The sequence below is a fragment of the Homo sapiens genome, chromosome 18, assembly GCF_000001405.40.
Source record: "Homo sapiens chromosome 18, GRCh38.p14 Primary Assembly".
Classification (NCBI taxonomy): domain Eukaryota; kingdom Metazoa; phylum Chordata; class Mammalia; order Primates; family Hominidae; genus Homo; species Homo sapiens.
The window spans coordinates 5,945,864-5,964,752 of NC_000018.10; the positions used below are offsets into that span (position 1 = coordinate 5,945,864).

The 18,889-nt window shown below is 42.6% G+C and overlaps 1 protein-coding gene and 1 long non-coding RNA gene across 24 annotated transcripts in view, besides 1 other annotated feature; one reads left to right on the forward strand and one right to left on the reverse strand.

The window, feature by feature from the left end:
* LOC121725015 (uncharacterized) overlaps positions 1-18,889 on the forward strand; it is a 93,648-nt gene that overhangs the window by 50,137 nt on the left and 24,622 nt on the right. The window lies entirely within an intron of this gene.
* L3MBTL4 (L3MBTL histone methyl-lysine binding protein 4) overlaps positions 8,854-18,889 on the reverse strand; it is a 460,543-nt gene continuing 450,507 nt past the window's right edge. For 13 of the 22 annotated variants that reach the window (NR_158610.2, NR_158609.2, NR_158611.2 and 10 more), the window contains 2 exons: positions 14,231-14,293; positions 8,854-10,524 (listed from right to left, as the gene is read on the reverse strand). Coding sequence is in view for 19 of the 22 variants with exons in the window: in NM_001365765.2 (NP_001352694.1) it covers positions 10,357-10,524; positions 14,231-14,293 (231 nt within the window). In the remaining 3 variants the exon portion in view is untranslated. Of the gene's footprint in view, positions 10,525-11,579; positions 11,701-14,230; positions 14,294-18,889 lie in introns of all 22 variants that reach the window. The other 9 variants (XM_047437914.1, XM_017026074.2, XM_011525760.2 and 6 more) reach the window with 1 other exon arrangement.
* Positions 18,257-18,757: an enhancer, noted in NCBI's record as "H3K4me1 hESC enhancer chr18:5964119-5964619 (GRCh37/hg19 assembly coordinates)". NCBI's record gives its function as "activates a minimal SCP1, AML or CMV promoter by ChIP-STARR-seq in naive H9 embryonic stem cells {active_cell/tissue: H9 hESC(naive)}" and the evidence as "EXISTENCE:reporter gene assay evidence [ECO:0000049][PMID:30033119]".

An 18,889-nucleotide genomic window follows, 5' to 3' on the forward strand; every position in this document is an offset into this window, starting at 1 on the left:
AAAAAATAAAAATAAATAAGTAGAAAGACCTGTCAAAGACCTATCATATTCTTGGGTAGGAAGATTCAATACTGTAAATGCATAAGTTTACCCTAAATTAAATCCATAGATCCAATTTAATCCTCATCAAAATGCCAACAGGCACTTTTATATCTTGATAAAGTATTAAAGTTACTTGGAAACATAAGTTTGAGGAAACTCCATAGACTCCCGTATGCAATAATCCATTAATAACCCAGTAATATTGGGGAGGATACACAAGAAGCTGTTTATAATATTCACCTCTTAGCAGTGGAAGTGAGGGGTAAAGACTTGAGCCAAAGATGTATTTTCATGTTATACTCATCTATGCTATTTGAATTTTTCCACAGGTGCAAATATTACTTATATGATTAAAAATAGTTATTTTAAAAGAACATTTCCATTATATTGAGTACTGATTTGTAACCCTCTCTGCTCATTAGAATCATATAGGGAGCTTTGGAAAGACACCAGGTCTCAGCACTTGCCTCCAGATTCTAATTCAATTTGGCTGTGTTAGGGCCCAGGCAATGGCATTTTTTACAAAAGTTCTCACTGATTCTGATGTGGAGCCAGGGCCGAGAGCCACCACTGTCAAGTAACCCATGGCAGCATTTTCCAACTTTTGGTCACAACCCTTCGGTTAGGAAATCAACTTAATGGCTTGGGACCAGAGTTAAAAACAAACAAACAACAACAACTGAAACCAACTCAATTGAGCAGAAACTTGTGCATGCCTGTTGTGTTTAAGACATGTCTCTTTCTGGGGGATGTCATCCAAAACATTGGAAAACCCCTACCTTAAGTGGTTCAGATCTTTCAGACTTTCTGAGACATTTTATCAGAATTTGTGTGAACTATTAAAGGCTTTTTACTGTTTAAAAGTTATATTGTAATTCTGACTTTTGTTCACGTATTTGATGATTCAATTATTTATTCATTACATAGTCAAAGGTAGAAAATTACATGTAATTACTTGTGCTTATCTGATAAGCATAGTGACTGATGTATGTAAATGCTCAATATGTGATGGATGAATGAATGAATGATTAAATTACTTAATAAATAGTGCTTTGCCTAGTTTTCCCTAGATTATTTTTATAAACTAGTTTTTCTTCTCACCTATCCCCAAGCTCCTAATTAAATAATTACTTGGAGTAGAATCAACCAAGAATACTTACATGCACATCCTAAGCTCAGTGACAACCAAGGCAGGACTTTCTCCTTTGCTAATGCTCTCATCCAAGTGAGGTGTCTGCTTGGTTTGGATTAGGCCATGCAGATTCTGGTGACATCCATGTTATCACAGGTCACATTGGCCTGGGTGCCTTGCCATGACATAAGTCACTCAAAAAAGATAGAACCATAAATAATTTGGCTGACACGGGTTAGCTTTATTTAAAGCAAGTTATTTTATTAACAGTTCCAAGATTGAAAGTCAGGTCTTAAAAAATCATTTTAATTCTCTACATAACCAACTTTATGTAACTCAGCTATTACTTATTGAGTTACTATGTTCTCAGCCTTGGGCAAGGTGCTGCAGGAAATATTGAAAAAGTATCAGAGGTGCTTAGATCATGCAATACTAATGATAAGTGAGAAAGACGTTCAGATTGGGCAGAAAAAAATATGAAATGAGTCCAGTGGAAAAGTCTTCAAATAGCTAGACACGTAGGACACCAAACACAGGCAATGCAGAAGGTCTCAGGTAACATCCTTAATGCCTAAAAGCTGCATTCTAATTTATTCTAATTTGCCTAAAGCCTCTTCATTAAGGGGCTTGTTTGGTGCAACATTCCACAAACCATTAGCAACATAACAGTCTCTGGGATTTGTCTTTGAGCATTAGCAGGCTTAGTATGTTCATCGCTGCATGTCTCAGTGGCTTTCTGGGCTGTTTCCATCTCCTGTCCCACTGATTACACTTTTGCAAGAGTTGGACTGAAAGAGTGAAAATATCTATGGCATTGTTGGCAGAAAACAAGACACCGGTCAGAGTGATAACAACTGGCCTCCAAAGGACCAGGAGATAGGGAGAGGGCTTTCTAATGGAGCAAACAGCTGTGAAGATAAATGAGATGAGGATTAGAAAAAAAGTAAAAATAATAGTAGAGGCAAAACTTGAAAATTTTAGAATTAAAAACAAAACAAAACAAACAAACAAACCCATACTAAATGATAAAAAGAGGATTTAGTCTAGAAAAGAGAAGACTAAGTGATGATTTCATTAGGGTCTTCAAAAAATATAAAAGATGATTTTATAGGAATAGGAGAGACCAGCTGTTTTACATGTTAAGCAGAAGTTTGAAGAATAGAAACTGGATAGGAAAAAGTGCATCTTTATTTCTTTTTTGTTTATTCAATAACTATTTATTGAGTGCCTCGTCTGTACCACACAGTTGTTAATTATAAAATTCTATTTACCCAGCTAGTGCAATTCACTGTGCTAGCACTTACAAGGGTGGAAAATTTTATAAGACATAATCTTTCTCTTCAAGGGGCTACATTGAATGAGTCCCTGGAGGAGCTCATATAATTGCTTTTCCTGGGGACTTTTTGGAAATGGCATAATGAAAATGAGTATAACCACAGGAGTCAACGATTCCAGTCATGTTCATCTATTACTTTATGTTCAGGTCTTCATCAGGGTTGAGAATGCTATGAAGTTTCTTCTGAGGAGGATGTGTGTAATGATTTATTGTCTATGGAGAAATGGAAGAAAAACCAGCTTAAAACCAGTAAAAAGTGAAGTATATAACTTGGAGCTTAAAATTTTTCAGAGTCTTATTTCTTTTGTTATCTCTTGTTTCCTCCTGAAGGCAGACATTCCAATTGTCTGCACATAACATAGATTGAATTGTGAAATAAGTTTCTGTCAACCCAACTCTACTAAGAGTTGTCACAAATTCCAAATGACTTCTCAAATTTCAAACGACTACCCAGACTTGCAAAATTGGTCTTTTTCTCAAAAGATTATGACTAGAAGTCTGCTCCTAGCTCAGATCTTAACAAAGGGTTATGACTTACAGACTTTTCCACTTAAGAGGACTTGCCTAGAGCAAAATAAATTTAAAACAAATAACTTGCTTTGACTAACATTGTGTGTCCTGTAAGGGAAAGCAATTTTCAAATTAACATGCACCAACATGACTAATCTGAAAAGTCTGTCCTGTGGGGGACATTGAAAAGAATTCTAAGGCAGGACCTGTTCTAGGTACTTACTGTTGACTCACATAAAGGGTCAGTCTTCTCACCTTCTTGAACCAGACATTGTCAAGATGTTATCCTTTTTAGTTCAGTATCATATCCACTTTCAAATCATATCATTAATCTGTAGCTACCCTATTGGAGGGCTGTGAGAATCAAGTGTTGGATAATTTCTGGGGGTGGCAGGATTACCAAGCACAGCTATGTGAAAACATATGCATACTTAAAATTCTTATGTATGCTTAATAAATATTAGAACACCACTGAGCTAAAATTAATGAGTCTGTGTTTGAAGCATGGCAGTATTTAAAATTACCTGCCTGATGACAATTTTAGTTAATCACATTAGAAGTCTGTCTGATTACTTCTTGTTAATTACTACTTATAATCCAGGGGGAAAAAGATCTAGAAATTTCCAGGTTAACAGGTTGCTTAATTCCTAACATTCAAACTGGTATTTAAAATAATATTCACACCCGAGCCGGGCGCGGTGGCTCACGCCTGTAATCCCAGCACTTTGGGATGCCGAGGCGGGCGGATCACGAGGTCAGGAGATCGAGACCATCCTGGCTAACACAGTGAAACCCCATCTCTACTAAAAGTACAAAAAATTAGCCGGGCGTGGTGGCGGGCGCCTGTAGTCCCAGCTACTCGGGAGGCTGATGCAGGAGAATGGCGTGAACCCGGGAGGCGGAGCTTGCAGTGAGCCGAGACTGAGCCACTGCACTCCAGCCTGGGCGACAGAGCGAGACTCCGTCTCAAAAAAATAAAATAAAATAAAAATAAAAATAAAATAATAATATCCACACCCATGAGCCAGTTGGTTAGCAATATGTGCTGAGAGGCACCTCTGTGTGAAGGATTGTTCTAGGCCCTCTGGGGAGATAGGAGAACATCTCCACAGTTCACAAACTGCAGGGCATGCACAAGACCTAGAGAGAACCACAGCAACATCCGGGGATGTGCAGTTATGTGCCTTGTGAATGCAAACCTAGACGCCAAGGGATTGCGCTGAACAGCACCGCCTAACCATATTTTCTGTGAGATCTGTGGACCGGCAAGTTCATATCCTCATCACATAAGGCCATATTTATTCTTCCTCTATTCACCCTCATATTTTTATGCTTATTAAATATTCTCCATTTGCACCCACTTGAATTTAAGCTTCATGAAAGGAGGGATTTTTATGTGATTTGTTGACAGATATATCCCAAATGCCAACAGACCCTGGCACACAGTGGACTCGCAATAAATATTTGCTGAATGAATGAATTTAACCATTTCCACAATGGACAGATGGGGACATCTGTTCAGATGAATTTGCTGATGTGTTTGAAGGAAACTTCAGAATCAATATAGATGTATATAGATGATATTTTTTCTTCTATTCTTATATTTAATTTTCCCAGCCTAAAAGACACAGGGCTAAATCTCTTTGAAGGTCCTGGAAGGACAACATCTGGTTTTAAATTGATAGTTAACAGGGGCTTGTGAAAGACATTTAAAAAAATTTTTTGTAAAGAAAAGCTGGCTGCTCTGGAGGATAAGTTTGCAAATTGGTTGAAAAAAAAATGAATGAAAGAAGAATTCAATTACCAACACCAAGTAACCTGTCTGAGTGAGTTTTTCTTTAATAAAAGAATTTTTGATTGGCTTGTTGACTCTTATTGGAGAAGCCAGACCAAATTAAATTCAAATTGCTTCTTCTTGGAAACAAAACAAAACAAAACCTTCACTCCCTTCTGAGGCAAATTATCAGAGAAGATCCTAACCTCAAATCATGAAGCAATTTATAAACAACTGCCTCCACGGAAGCCAGATGCCACACAAATCTGACCCATGCACATAACTAGCTGGTGGAGACACCTGTGCGTTTTCAGGTAGAGATCCTGTAAAAACACCTTATTTATTTTTTAAATGAAATTGAGTTAATATTAGCTAATAATTCTTGATGGGTTTTTTTTTCCTACTGAAAGACCTTTCAGGCCCCAGCATTTCACAGTAAAATACAGGCTCCTGCATATCCAAATAATCTCCATGCATATTTAACACAACAGCCATTAGTTGCAGTTCGATGGTTGCAGTTCAATGTATTGTAGGAATATCTAAGTTTAACCTGGGATTTCTCAGCACTTTGTGTTCTTCATGCATCAATTTGCCTTGATGCCTAGATTCCTAAATCAAAGGGAACGTAATCTAATTTCAAACTGAAGTAAACGAGGAATTGATGGGTATTGCCTTGTAGGCAAAACAAAGCACAAAGCAACTAGTCTGATCCCATGAAATAAAACTATATGGAGAAAAATAAACTCAGTATTTTAAACTCAAAGTCCCATTTCTGCCACCTTTTGCTTTTCATTTCCTTTTAAAGGTTGTTCTTAAACTTTATTACCCTGCCACCCTTCTCTCTGACCTGCCTCGATTTTCCTGTCATTCCTGTGTGCCAGCATCACACACAGTGATTGGGGTATCTGCAGCTTTGTCCCTCAGCACACTGTGGGCCCAAGGGAGGGAGACACCTGCTGTTAGCATGCTGGCTTGGTCCTCTGCTCTCATCATTCAAGAGCTGAGCCTTCACAGCCTCTTAACCACTCTCTGGACACACCTGTACATCCCAGCCTGTCAGTGGCATCAGGGGTGTGTTTTATTGATCACTAGATTCAAAGTCCATTGTCTGCCTGAAAGGAATATATGGTGCGAAGACTGGAAGCAGGCAATTTCACTGAGAAATCAAATTGTTGATCGCCAATTCACCAAATGGCTCAGTCAGCGGATTTACTTGTTAACTCAGTCAGCAAATTTACTTGGCAACTCTTGAGTTTCAGTTAATCGGTTTTTGTTTTGTCTTCACAGCATCACTGTAGAGACATTGAGCTGTCCCAGCTCCTGTTGCAGCTGGAAACTGAAGGGTAGAGAGAAACAGAGACTGAGAGAGTTTAGCAAGAATGTATTTTTGAAGAAAGATTTCTTATGAATATATTATTCATTAATATATTTACTCATAGGAAGAATATATAAGAATTCTGAATATTTAAGAATCAATTAACAATTATATTCTTCATGAATATATTGATAAGAGTGTTTTTAAGAGGAATATTTACAAGAGAAAATATTCACAAAGAATATATTCTCAAATATTAAGAATATATTCATAGGAACACTTCATAGTCTAGAACACATTCTTCAGCCTTAGGAATTGCAGAGACAAACTGAATATTCCTTAAAATGAAGCAAAATTCAACATTCCAAAAGAAATAAGTAAATATGGCAAGTCAGTCATGTGCTGGGTGGTTAAGACTGACTTCTACAACAAGACAAGGTGTAGGACTCAGGGTTCAACCCTGGGCCTCACTCCAAAGCCCCAGCACTTTCCATGATCCTTCACCGCCTCCAACTCTTACTCAAAAGTTGGAGATTCTTTGGACAAAGATGACTTGTCCAAGAAATCCCAGGTGTATTTGAAAGTCAGTGCTGAGCAAAAGAAAGCTGTCATGACTTGGAATCCTGTGTTAACAACGAGTCAATCTCTTTTGCTGTCAGTCTTAGAAATGCTTTGGTACGTGGGTTCTACAAGGTCAGGAATTCTAATCACAGGGGAGAAGCGGTGTTCAAAGATTGTGAATGATAGTTTTTTTTTAATATCCTAGGGCTGCTGGAAGTGAGAGAAATTTATTTTTTTTTTTGCAAGAGTTATCTAAAATTACAGGCTTTCAAAGACTCTAGTCTCAGAAGTCCTAAGCTCCCTTAGGATTCATGCTAATGATCTAATTTCCAGCATCATGGTGTGTACTTATGATTGTGATGTACAAATGGTCCTTGGGGGGAACTCTTTCTAATAACCTGGAAGTTCGTGTTTCTTGAAGCCCTGTTGATAATTTTTTCCTTTGTCCCTGACTCAATTCACATTCCAGGGGATCAGGAAAAGAGGAGCAGAGTTAGAGGCTGAGGCTGTGCCCACGAGCAGCAAGGTCTTCAAGCCACCTGTGCCATTTCTGGGTGCTGCTTGGCCCCTGAGTGGTGGGGGTCCTCCTGGCAGAGTGAACAATCTCAACTCTTATGTTGCAAACCTTCCTGCAGAGCATCAGGAGAAGGGGAAGGGAGCTGGGTGGAGGAAGCTGGATGTAGGTGGTCCAAGGCAGTTGGGGCCCCTTGACAGCACCCCAGGGGCTCCTCCAAACATGAGTGACACCTAGAAGAGTGGGCCCTGAGGGGTCCTTGAAGGCTGTGTCAGGCTTGATGCAAACGTAAGGGGTTTGTTCCAGGAGATTCCTGGAAGTCTGGTCTTCCGTTGACTTAAAGGAATGGATTTTTGTTCCTGTTGTTTTCCTGATGCCTATTTAATGGCTGCTGTCAGGTGTCAGCACCTTATATGTGCTGTTTACACTCACATCCATGCAGACATCCGCAAAATAAAATTTTACAAAACCCTGGAGAAGGTATTATTTTCTCATTTATAGAGAGGTTACACCTATTTAGGAAGTTGCAGAGCTGAGATTTGCATTGATTTGGGTTGGCTCGCTTTGTTCATTGATACAAGAAATCACTTACTGTGTGCCAAGTAAGTGCCAGATCCTATGCTAGGTGCTTAGAATAAATGATGTGCATGCCAGACCCAGTCTTTGTCCCCTCAGATCTTCTAGGCTAAGGATGAGAGACAAGTAATAACAATAGTGAACAGCAATGCAACGGGGAGGAGCAGGCTGCTGTGGGGCTCTTAAGTGAGTCAGGAACCGAATAGTGATGGAGTCCAGAAAGACTAGTGAGAAGTGGGAAGAGGAAGGGTGAGATGGCCTCAGGCAGAGGACCCACAAATACAAAGTGGGGCCTGGGAGCAGGGTGAGTTTGGAGAAATAAAGAAGCTCAGTGCAAATCCAGCCTGGATGTGGACAGGAACAGAAGATGTCTAAAAGGTGGGCACTGGCTGGGTTGTGATGTCTGCAGTGTGCCAGGGCCTGCCTGGGCCAGCTCTCCAGTGCTGTCTGCACATCTCCTCCTAACTCCAGTGATTTTGTGTTGGTAGAAGAAGAATTCTACCACAGAAAGGGACAAAAAGGCAGGTGATTTGAGTTTCCAGGCTGGCTGAGCAGCTGCTCTGATGATGGCGTCGTTCACTTGGTAAGGAGTATTAGAATGGAGGGATCAAAGCTCCCTGTTGAATACCTCAAGGTTGAGGTGCTTGAGTGACAACGTGGGGGTGTCTGGCAGGCAGCTAGATACCTGGATCGATCCCTTTCTGTCTGATCACACTGTCTCCTAGGAGCACAATAGTTCAACTCCATTTGATTTGGTATTATGCAACCTGTTCAAGGCCCTACTGCTGAAATGACATGTGTTAGATATACAAACCACAAATCTCAGGTCTTCCATGGAACCTATACAATAAGCAATTTTGAGGTTTTTATTAATTTTAAAAACTCCCATTTAATCTCTCAAATTATTAACACCTAAACCTGCTTCCCTTGGGAAATATATCCCAAGAAAGACAGCACTCCAAAATGGCTGACTTCCTTGCTAGCTAATGTGGGCCGTTACCTCTGTTCTTCCATGGCTGACAAAAAACAGACTCCATGCTGTGGCATGGGCACAGGTCATATCAACATATGCATTAAGGTAGTGAGGTATAAATTTTGTTTTCTCTGTTTATTATCATTTAAAATATATTAAAATTTTAACATGGCAGAAGCAGGAATTTTACTTGCACATGGCAGTCTACAAAAAGCAAAACAAACAAAACTCCACAGAAACAAAATTTACATCAACCAATAATATATTAAAATTCCTTTTAGGTAAAGATCTAAAGAAATGTTATATATGCACACCTCTTAGAGTTTGTTTATTTTCTTCAGTGAAAAAAAAATGTAAAGCTTGAGAAATTCTCCAAGCAGAATCAACTTTCTTAAACCTTAACATTCTTAATGAAGCAAGTGGACATAGAACCTCTCCCTCTTTCTCCCCACCCACAAATGGTGTCCCTCCACTTCTGGGAGAGTATTTGTAGCTGTTACTACCTGTAAAAGTAGTAAGAAGTGTCAGAAAAGAGGTACTTGTCTTTCAACACTGTGGGACTGATTCCACACAACTTAAGCCTCCGATACAATCACTTACAAAAAACAAATAAGGCCTGACAACAAATCGGAATGTTTCAAACAAAGAATAAGTACCACGCTCCCTACTTTAGAGATCTTCCCTTTGAATAGTGTGTCTCCATTTGTAAAGATGCACACAGCCCCAGATGTAATATAACACAGCTCCTTATTACAGGGGTTCTGGCAGACTGCAGTGGAAATGAGTCAATTCTGAAACGCCCTTCAGAGTGGGAGCAGGGAGGAGTTCTGTGCAGGTGAGCGTCTGGCCCAGCAGCCACACCAGTGTTAGGACAGGGTCCCCTGAGGCCCCGCTGATGGTGGAGGGTCCTCAGAAGGGTCTCTCCAGCTTTTGGAAGTGCCCACCTGACCGTCCTCTCATTACTCCTGGCTACTCTCCTTTGTGGAGGCTCCAGGAAAGCTTGGGAGCACAACCAAGAAATGGTTAATGGAACAAAAAGGAGAATTAATGAATCATGAAAACATGTGCTTATTATTATTATTTTTTAGAGATTCACACTTTCCTGAGTAAAGTACACAAAAATCTCACATGAAGTCTTTTGAAAGCACCAGGCCTCTAGCTCTTAGACTAGCTGTGCTCCATGGCAGATCTGAGCCAAGCTCGATGTTGCTCTGGTAAAAACATTAACGATGTATTCATGAACACTGCTTTTCTAATATTTCACCACTTGAGAGTGTTATGCTTGTAAGATGGAAAATGGTTTCTTTTCTGGTGACGGAGAAGAATAAAGGTGGATGTGTGGGCTTCTTTGGTCTGTCTTGCAAACAAATCAGAGCTGAGCGGATCCCACCAAAGATAACAATGTTCGTAAACCAAACCCACAGATGGGCCTAAGCCTCTGAGTCATTGGCACTGGACCAGTCATCAAAATCCTCTAAACATGTAAACAAATCACAGACACTTTAAAAAGTCCAGATTCAGTGTGGATACGGCCATGGGGACATTCACATCAAATTAATGTGCTCCACTTTTATTGCTGAAAGAGCGCAGGTCTTGGTGCCAGAGGAAGTTCAGGGAGCCCATTCATCCCCTGACTTCTTGGCCTGAGGCAATATCTTCTTCAGGGAGTTCCTGGGAATGCCTGAACATCAGGATAGAGTTGTAAATCTTCAGTGCTGGGCCCAGTTTGATCTTCATCACTTTGACAATGTCCGTCTGTGTCAGAAGCAGGAAGGCTTTGCCATCGATCTGCTGCAAATACATAAATAGACACAAATAAAAATGTTTTGCCACGGAAGCCTGTTTACTCACCAGTAACACTTTGGTTCTGAGTGTGATGTGGAACCCGTCATAGCCTCCGTGTTGAGCTCACCAGTGAGAGAGAATGACGGTAGCTCTCACTCGGCTTAGTTACAACCATTGCTCCACTCCAATTCTTTCTTCTAGAACTTTGAAGTTAAATTGAAAAGATGCTCATGCTGTTAAATACGAATTCAATATACACGAACTGTTCCCAGGCTACATTTCTATTGTTGTCTTTTAAAAAGGTTGGCTTGAATTTGTATCAAGAGCCTTAAAACCAAGTAAATCTCCAGGAATTTTTCCCAAGAGAATAATGTGCAATGTGTATATGCTAGTATTATTTATAATACTGAAATCTTGAAAGCAACCCACTGTTCCCAATAATATCAGAAGTAAATAATACTATAGTCAGAGTGGGCTACTATGCAGTCACCCAAAATCAACTCTCTTGAAACATTTAATGATTTAGGAATTTTTTTTTTATAGATCAGTAAACAACAGAACATGGTATATGATAGAGAAAGATTTCAGTTTTACTTTGTACAATTAAACATGCATGGCTGCATGTATACATATGCATATTTAAAATATTTTGAAGTCTTTACACCAAATGTTAACTGAAATTATCTTTGGATGTAGAATAGTGGTTAGTTTTTATTTAATCCTTTCAACTTTCCTGTATTTAAATTTTTTAAAGAATACATACCATTATAAGCAAAAATACACATAAAATAAATGTTTTATTTATTAAACTTTAAAAATACATTTCAAAACTTGCACAGAATGATTCCTGGCTCCAGATGAACAAGATCTGGGGCTCTGATGTATGGCATGGGTGGTAATGGAAAGAGTGAATTTGACTTTGGTAATCATCACGCATTGTATATGTATATCAAATCATCACATTATACACTTTGAATGTATTCAATCTTGTTTTGACAATTAAATATTTTTAAATTAAAAAGATATTACAGCATGAAAGTAATAGCTTCCCCGAGACTCACAGGATGGCAGTGGCCACCGTGTAGGCTGCTTTCCCCAGCTTCTGGATGCCCCAGTGACCTCAGCACAACTCCAGGGACTACTGCAGCGTCTCTGATTGACACAGCCTGGCTCAGATGATTCCTGGCTCCAGAACCAAGAAGGCAGGAATGGAAGGGTTTTCTATGGAAACATTCTTCCACGAACTTAGAACTGTGGTTCTAAACCTTTTCAAATTTAATAATACAAACCCCAGCCAGTCATGGTGGCTCATGTCTGTAATCCCAGCACTTTGGGAGGCCGAGGTGGGCAGATCAATTGAGGTCACGAGTTTGAGACCAGCCTGGCCAACATGGTGAGACCCCCCGCCCCTGCTCCATCTCTACTGAAAATACAAAAATTAGCCAGGCGTAGTGGCATGCGCCTGTAGTCCCAGCTACTCAGGCAGGAGAATTGCTTGAACTTGGGAGGCAGAGGTTGCAGTGAGACAAGATCATCCCAATGCATTCCAGCCTGGGCAACAGATAGAGACTCCACCTCAAAAAAAAAAAAAGAAGGGAAGAAGAAGGAAAAAGAAGGAAGGAGAAGGAGGAGGAGGAGAAGGAGAAAGAGGAGGAGGAGGAGGAGAAGGAGAAGGAGAAGGAGAAGAAGAAGAAGAAGAAGAAGAAGAAGAAGAAGAAGAAGAAGAAGAAGAAGAAGAAGAAGAAGAAAAAGAAGAAGAAGAAGAAGAAGAAGAAGAACAAGAAGAAGAAGAAGACGACGAAGAAGAAGAGGAAGAAAAATCCTGTAGTGTCAATGTCTCACTGATAGAATTACCCTGGGACCCCAAGGGTAGCGTTTTGAAGTTATAATATTTAAAAAAGTTTTTAAAACCTTCCTGTGCATTTATGATATATTGTCTGATAAGGACTCATCCATCTAGAGGAGGAAACACTTTTTCCCTCGGAAAAGGCATTTTCCCCAAGGCAGAGGAGAATGAGCCTACATCCATACCCTGACCTGGCTAAGCTCCAGCATTTTCAGGCAAAAATTGCTGTCCAAATACCCCATTGTCCTAAGAATAAGGTCGTGATGGTGACAACAACAGCTAACATTTATGGAGCTACAGTAATCTATTATATGGGTTTGATCCTCCTGATAACCCTGTAATATAGGTGAGGAAACCTGGAATTGCAAGCTTAATGACTTGCCCAAGCTCATGCAGCTTCTAAGGGGCAAAGTTGGGATTTCTGGCAGAGCTTGTTGGAGCCCAGAGGAGACCCTCTGCTATATACTGCTGCCTTTATTAAGCCCCTACTTTGGGACAAGAACAGGGCTCGGTGCTTCAAACATGCTCACCCTAATCTTTAAGGGCCCCTCTCGTAAATCTGTGTTTCAGAGAGGAGGGATAAGAGGGGTTCAGCAATCTGCCTAAAGTGACAGTACTGGTCAGTGAGTGCCAAATATAAGCAATTCAACCTGCAAAAAGCCACTCCCTCTTACCCTACGTGGACAGACTTGAGGACAAAGCAAGCCTTGATCATCGCTACCTGCAGAGTAGACTGTATGTGTGAACGTGGCCAACTATGCCCAAGCCATGCTGAGCTCAGGCAGAGCCAGGCGAACCCCACAGGTAGCAGCTACCCAGACTGAGGCTATCTGACCTTGATGCTGAGTTCCTCTACTGTGCTCGGAGGGGTCCAGAACCCAAAACTCAGCACTTCCTTAACTCATGCATGCTCTGAACCTGAGAGAGGGAGAGGTATGTGCTGCCTTTCAGTTTCTATGAGGATGGTTTTCTTGGAAAGTTCTAGAGCAGCGATGGAGGCTCTGAGCTCTCAGATGGATATGAGCTGGAATCCGACTTTTCTTGCCCTTTTCTTGCTCTGCCTCACCTTCCTGGGCCTGAGCTTCTTCATCGGTAAGCTGCCATTGTAGTGTTGTCACAAGGATCAAAGGATAATGGTTGTAAAATGCTTAGCACCATGCCTGGCACATGGCAAGCCCCTGATACACAAGCACTGGGATTAGTATGTGCATCATTCTGTAGCTGGTCCAGTCTCTTCCGGGGCCCCTATAGCTATGGATACTAATTCCAGGAAATATGCGAAGCAGTTCAGTACATTCCCAACCAAGAGGGGACAGGAGATAGAAACCCCGTAGAAGGATTTGGGGCTGCTCTGGAAGCAAATGCAGGGCAGGGATAGATAGGAGGGTCCCATGCTGACTTTGGAGTAGACAAATCCCCAATCTTTCCCAGGTGCAATCCCAAGGGAGGATTCCTGCCTTCCCGCAAATGGCTTCAAGCCACCAATGGAGAGGCCTCATGACACTGATAGGTATTAATTAATTATCTTTTTCATTTACTCTTCCAGCAAATAGTATACGTACTGAGCATGCTGTATGCACCAAGCACCATGGCATTCTGCAACAAAACCTAGCAAAATGTAAGAGGACTGAAGGCGGAGACTGACCCAGCTTGGTCTCACACTGCATAATTGGGCTCTATTCCTGCTGGATCTCCTTTGTCTTGCTGCCCCCAAATTGTACTTATTTACACTTAAGTAAATGAAAACAAAACACTTCTGGGTCTAGAAGTATAGAAATACATACATATATATATATACATATATATATATACACACACATATATATATATATACATATATATATATATAATTTTTGCATCTCTTACCTCTTTCTTAAAGCACTTGGCATGCTCTTCACAGCCCAGAAGAGACTGTACAAACTCAGCCACCTACAGTGCGAGATGAAAAGCCTAATTTAATACATGCACCTGAAATAATTTGGGGGTTGCAGTAATCCAACATTTAAGTAAAATATACTTAAAATCTCTCAAACTCTTGGGAATTAAATAGTAACTATCAAGTTGCATTAGCATTTGTCAACTCAGAAATTAGACCAGCCCCCAGTATTTTTTCTGTCCTCTTATTACCGGGCTGACCTGCAGAGGGTTATGGTTATAATGACGACAGTAATAGCCTCCATATGTGAAGCTCTGGCATTCTGCAAGCTTCTGCATCTGATTCTCCTGACTCCCCCATGGGGTCAGTGAGGGCGAGGCCAGTGGTCTTGTGCAGCAGTCATCACAGCGACCATTAGGAGTAAGGACCTGCTCACTTGCCTTTAAAAGGCAGACCCGAAGGCAAGGCCTTCTCCTGCTCATCTCTGTGGCCCAGTCCCTTACCTGGAGCATGGTGAATCACAGGAGATCAGAGAATCTATGTGGAGCTGAATTCCCACATAAATGATGAAGCTGAAGCCAAAAGAGGTTCAGTACTTACCCAAGGCCACATACGGTTGATAAGTAGCAGAGACATTTTGGAATTCGGGTTTGCTATCTCTAGGCCCTAAGTTCTGGAGAATCAGTCTCTTCATTTCAACTTCTCACCCTCACCATGCCCCCACATGCCCCCAGATATCCTTTTAATAAGAGAGAGCTCAGGCAAAGATCTGGCTATCAGCTCGGGAAGCCACTGAGTGTTCCTAATAGATACCTTTGGGAAGCCGATTGAACAAACCTGATAAAGGGTAGACTCCCAACAGCAGAAATGACAACTGAGTGGTCTGCACTACTGGCTAGCTCCAGTCCTGTCGCAGCAGGGGATGAAAGGCAGGCTGAATGAAGTGCAACAGTAAATGTAATCTTGGGAGGTGATACTTCTAGGGGAACTGTTTTGCTTGTTTTATTCTTTTTGGCTCTCTGCTTCTTGTGTCAACCGAATTGTGTGTGCTGGCCCTTCTCCTCTCCCTGGTTTCACGGGAAAGGTTCTTGAGGCTGGAGAGCGCAGTTATCAACACGTCCCACCCTCAGAGAGCTCTGTGAGCACAGGCTCCCTCCAAGCCTCTCCAGGAGAAGTCAGCAGACGCTGCCCCTGACGGTGCAGGAGACAGCACCAGGTGTTTGCTGATCCCAGGTGACAGAGCAGTCAGGGCCAACTCCCTCAGGGCATACCCTAGGGCTGGACACCTGTGCCCCCTCCTGAGCTCTGTCCCCTGTGGTCTCACAGCTATATTTAGTCTGTGCAAATGTGAAGAGTTCAGAATATCTTTTTTTAGGGGTGATCAGCATGTCCATGTCTGCTTTACTCAACCCTGGTGCTACAAATACATTCATGAGTCATTTTACAATCTTCACCTAAAGTTTGGAGTGATAAGGATTAAAACAAACAAACAAAAAAACCTCCCACACCAGCCATATTGTTGTCATGCAAGGACACCTCCAAGCTCCAGGAGCATCTGTGCTAGTGAGTGCCTCTGCTGGCCCGGGCTCTTAGTATTACGAGCTAATTCACCTGAGAACCTGACACTCTGGCAGTTCAGGCAGAGGAAGCCGAGCTGTTTGTTGGGCTAATACAGTTTTCTTGTTCTAGGTGAGAAGGAAGCATGTAGAGCACGTGCTCAGTATTTGCTGGGAGCTAGTGAAAGCTGTGGAATGCCGCTGGTCAAGCTGCAGAGACAGGGCAACTGGGGCAGGTGATGGCAGTGGCAGTGCTGTTGGTGGCAGATGGCTGGGGCCCAGGACACTGAGGGTGGCCTGGCTCCGTCATTCCTCAGACAACTGTGCTGGCTATATATACTCCAACCCTGTCTATGTGTGAGGCCTCATGCTGGCTGCTGGAAGAGCTGCCCTGGGAGCTGGTGGTGCTTGAATTTTCAATGAGTTGATTTGATTAGCGGTGGAGGATTGAGGGGAACAGGGAGGACAGGAAAGCTTATCACTGACCACAACATGTGTTCAAACATGCTAACACCCTTGAGAGAGGTAGGAAGGCTATGGGTGTTAGGAAGGGACTGCACAAATCTTAGGTGGGACTTCAGGAAGGTCATCAGGAAGAAGGGGGTCTGTGAGAGGTTCACTGTTGGATTCATAGTATTTCCACCACGGCGATTTGGGGTGGATGTACGGGGAAGAAATTCTAGGCATAGAGAATCCCAGCAAACCCCAAAGCAGGACAACACAGGGCCAAAGGGTGGGTGTGAGCAGCAGGAGGAATGCAGTTTGGCTGAGCTGAGGAGTAGACAGGGAGTGGCGGGAAGAGGGAGGGCCACGTGGTTCCAGGTGTGGGTCTGTACTTCCTCCACAGCAGCGGGGAGCCCTGAGCCTTGGCACTCCACCCTGGTGGGACGCTGGAATCCTCTGCAGAGCTTTCACGCTGACTGCAGTCCAGGCATCACACCACACAGATGATAAATTAATGGAGTTGGATTGGGTCCAAGCACTGGGTAGATATTTTTAGAGCTTCCCAGTTGGTTCCAGTGTGCACTGAGGGCCAAGGACCACAGCGCTGCAGGAAGCTAGAGAAATGGTCCAGCAGGGTCTGTACAGACTCATGCTGAGCCTCAGGGCTAGGCAGGGCAGGAATCAAAGATGAGCGCAGGAAAATGCTGTAAAGCCAAGTTCCTCAACCTCAATACTGACACCTCGGGCCAGGTAATTCTTTGCTGTGAGGGCTGTCCTGGGTGGGGTGGGATGTTTAACGGTATCCCTGCCCTCTACTCACTAGGTGCCAGTAGGAAAGTCCCCTTCTGAGTTGTAACAACCAAAAATATGCCCAGATATTGCCAAATGCCCCTGGGGGGCAACATTGCCCCAGTTCTTCTGCTGGGCTCACTTTTTCATAGTGTCATAGGAGGAAATAATAGAAATAGAGACAAGGGACCAGTAACTAGCTAACGACCCATGTTTTGTCAGATGTCAACCACTCACTGCAGTGGGAAAGCCAAGTCAGCACAGGGACAGTGGCTTCCCCACTGGTAGGGAAAGAAGTGGTTGGTTAGAAACATGGTCTCTTTTCCATACTTGCCCAAAGGACTGTTCACAGCAGAAGTGTTGCAAGTTGCTTTGATGATTTGCCTATGTTAAACTGTCCTTTTCTGGGCAAACAAAAAAAGGACCACAGTCTCCCTTCTCAGTATCATTAGCCAAGAAATCATTGTCAATGTCTGAAAGGTAGACTGGATTTTTTTAAAGGGAATAAATAATGTGTTAAACCAAAGCGTCAACAGAGCAGACGCGGCCCTGCCCCGTGGTGGCCTCCACCTGGCCCGCAAGCAGCACCTGCCACCTCCACCTCATCCTCCACCTGGCCACCCTCCTCGGCTTCACACTCCTCTGAAAGGCTCTGCCATTTTGGAAAGAGATTCCCATTTGATTCGGCCTATCTGTCTTTTTCCAAAGTAAGGAAAAAGTTCCATGAACTGTATTAAGCAGACTTCTCTGGCCAAGAATTTTAAAATATGCAAAGGCCTTGATTCAGTATTATTAGTCGGTAATTACTTCCCCTACAAATAAATTGTATTTTGAGCTTTCATAGAAAGTTCTGCCACAGATTTTCTCAATGAAAGTGGTGAGCTTTAGCATAGAATAGAGTAATATCAAGAAGTTTCCCTCTCATTCTCCCTTTAAAAGAGAGAGATTTTTTTTCTTCAAGTTTGTGGTAAAATGTGGACAGCTGTCCAGAGGGGCATGACCTCTGCAGAAGAGGAAACGACCATCCACTTGCCCTGCACCCACAGAAGCCATGGCAGTGGGGTCATCTCCTTTTTCAAAGGGGGTGATCATGCTGTTGGAGCCCAGTGGGTGGCCTGGGCCTTGGCTTTGGCTCTGGGCAGTGCCTGGTGGCATGGGGGCTGCCATGTGGGTGTCTCCCCTTGGCCTTGGCTCTGGGAGGTGTCCCCCACAGTGCTGTGACCACTGACACACCAGCACTTCCCACATTCTCAGGCACGCAGTGTCCTACAGCTAAAATCCCTGTTTTGTTTTGGAAGGACACTGAGAAAGTTAATTCTAAGTATGAGACAGCAGTCTGGGGAGACTGGGAGGGATGACACTGCCCAGGCTCTGAGAGGAGCCCATCCTGCCAGCCGACCTCACTTCCCCCACGACCTACTTTCCCTGGCATCATCGCTGGAGCTCAGCAGGACTCATGTTCTTCCGTGGGGCTGCCGCTGCTTTAAATCTTTCCAAATGCTGGTGTTCTCTATCTCGCTGAGCCTGTAGATATGTGCCTGACTCTACTGGCTAATCGTCCACTGGGGACCATGTTTCCAGCCTGAGTCTTATTCTTTAACAGCAGAGTTTATTTGCCTTTTTTTTTTCTAAGGGCCCAATTGTATAAGGCTGCTCTGCTTATGAGCAATACCCCGAATTTTTCAAATCACCCCTTCCTGTGTAAAGGCTGCTTTTAAAGTGACTGCCATCTTTCAAAGTTAATGAACATTTAGGGAGCACTTGGTTGAGGCTAGGGCAATTTATATGTGGTGCTTTAAGAAGTGGTTTTTAATAAGAGAAATAAAAGTACCCATACGTGCACCAAGCATACCTGAGTCA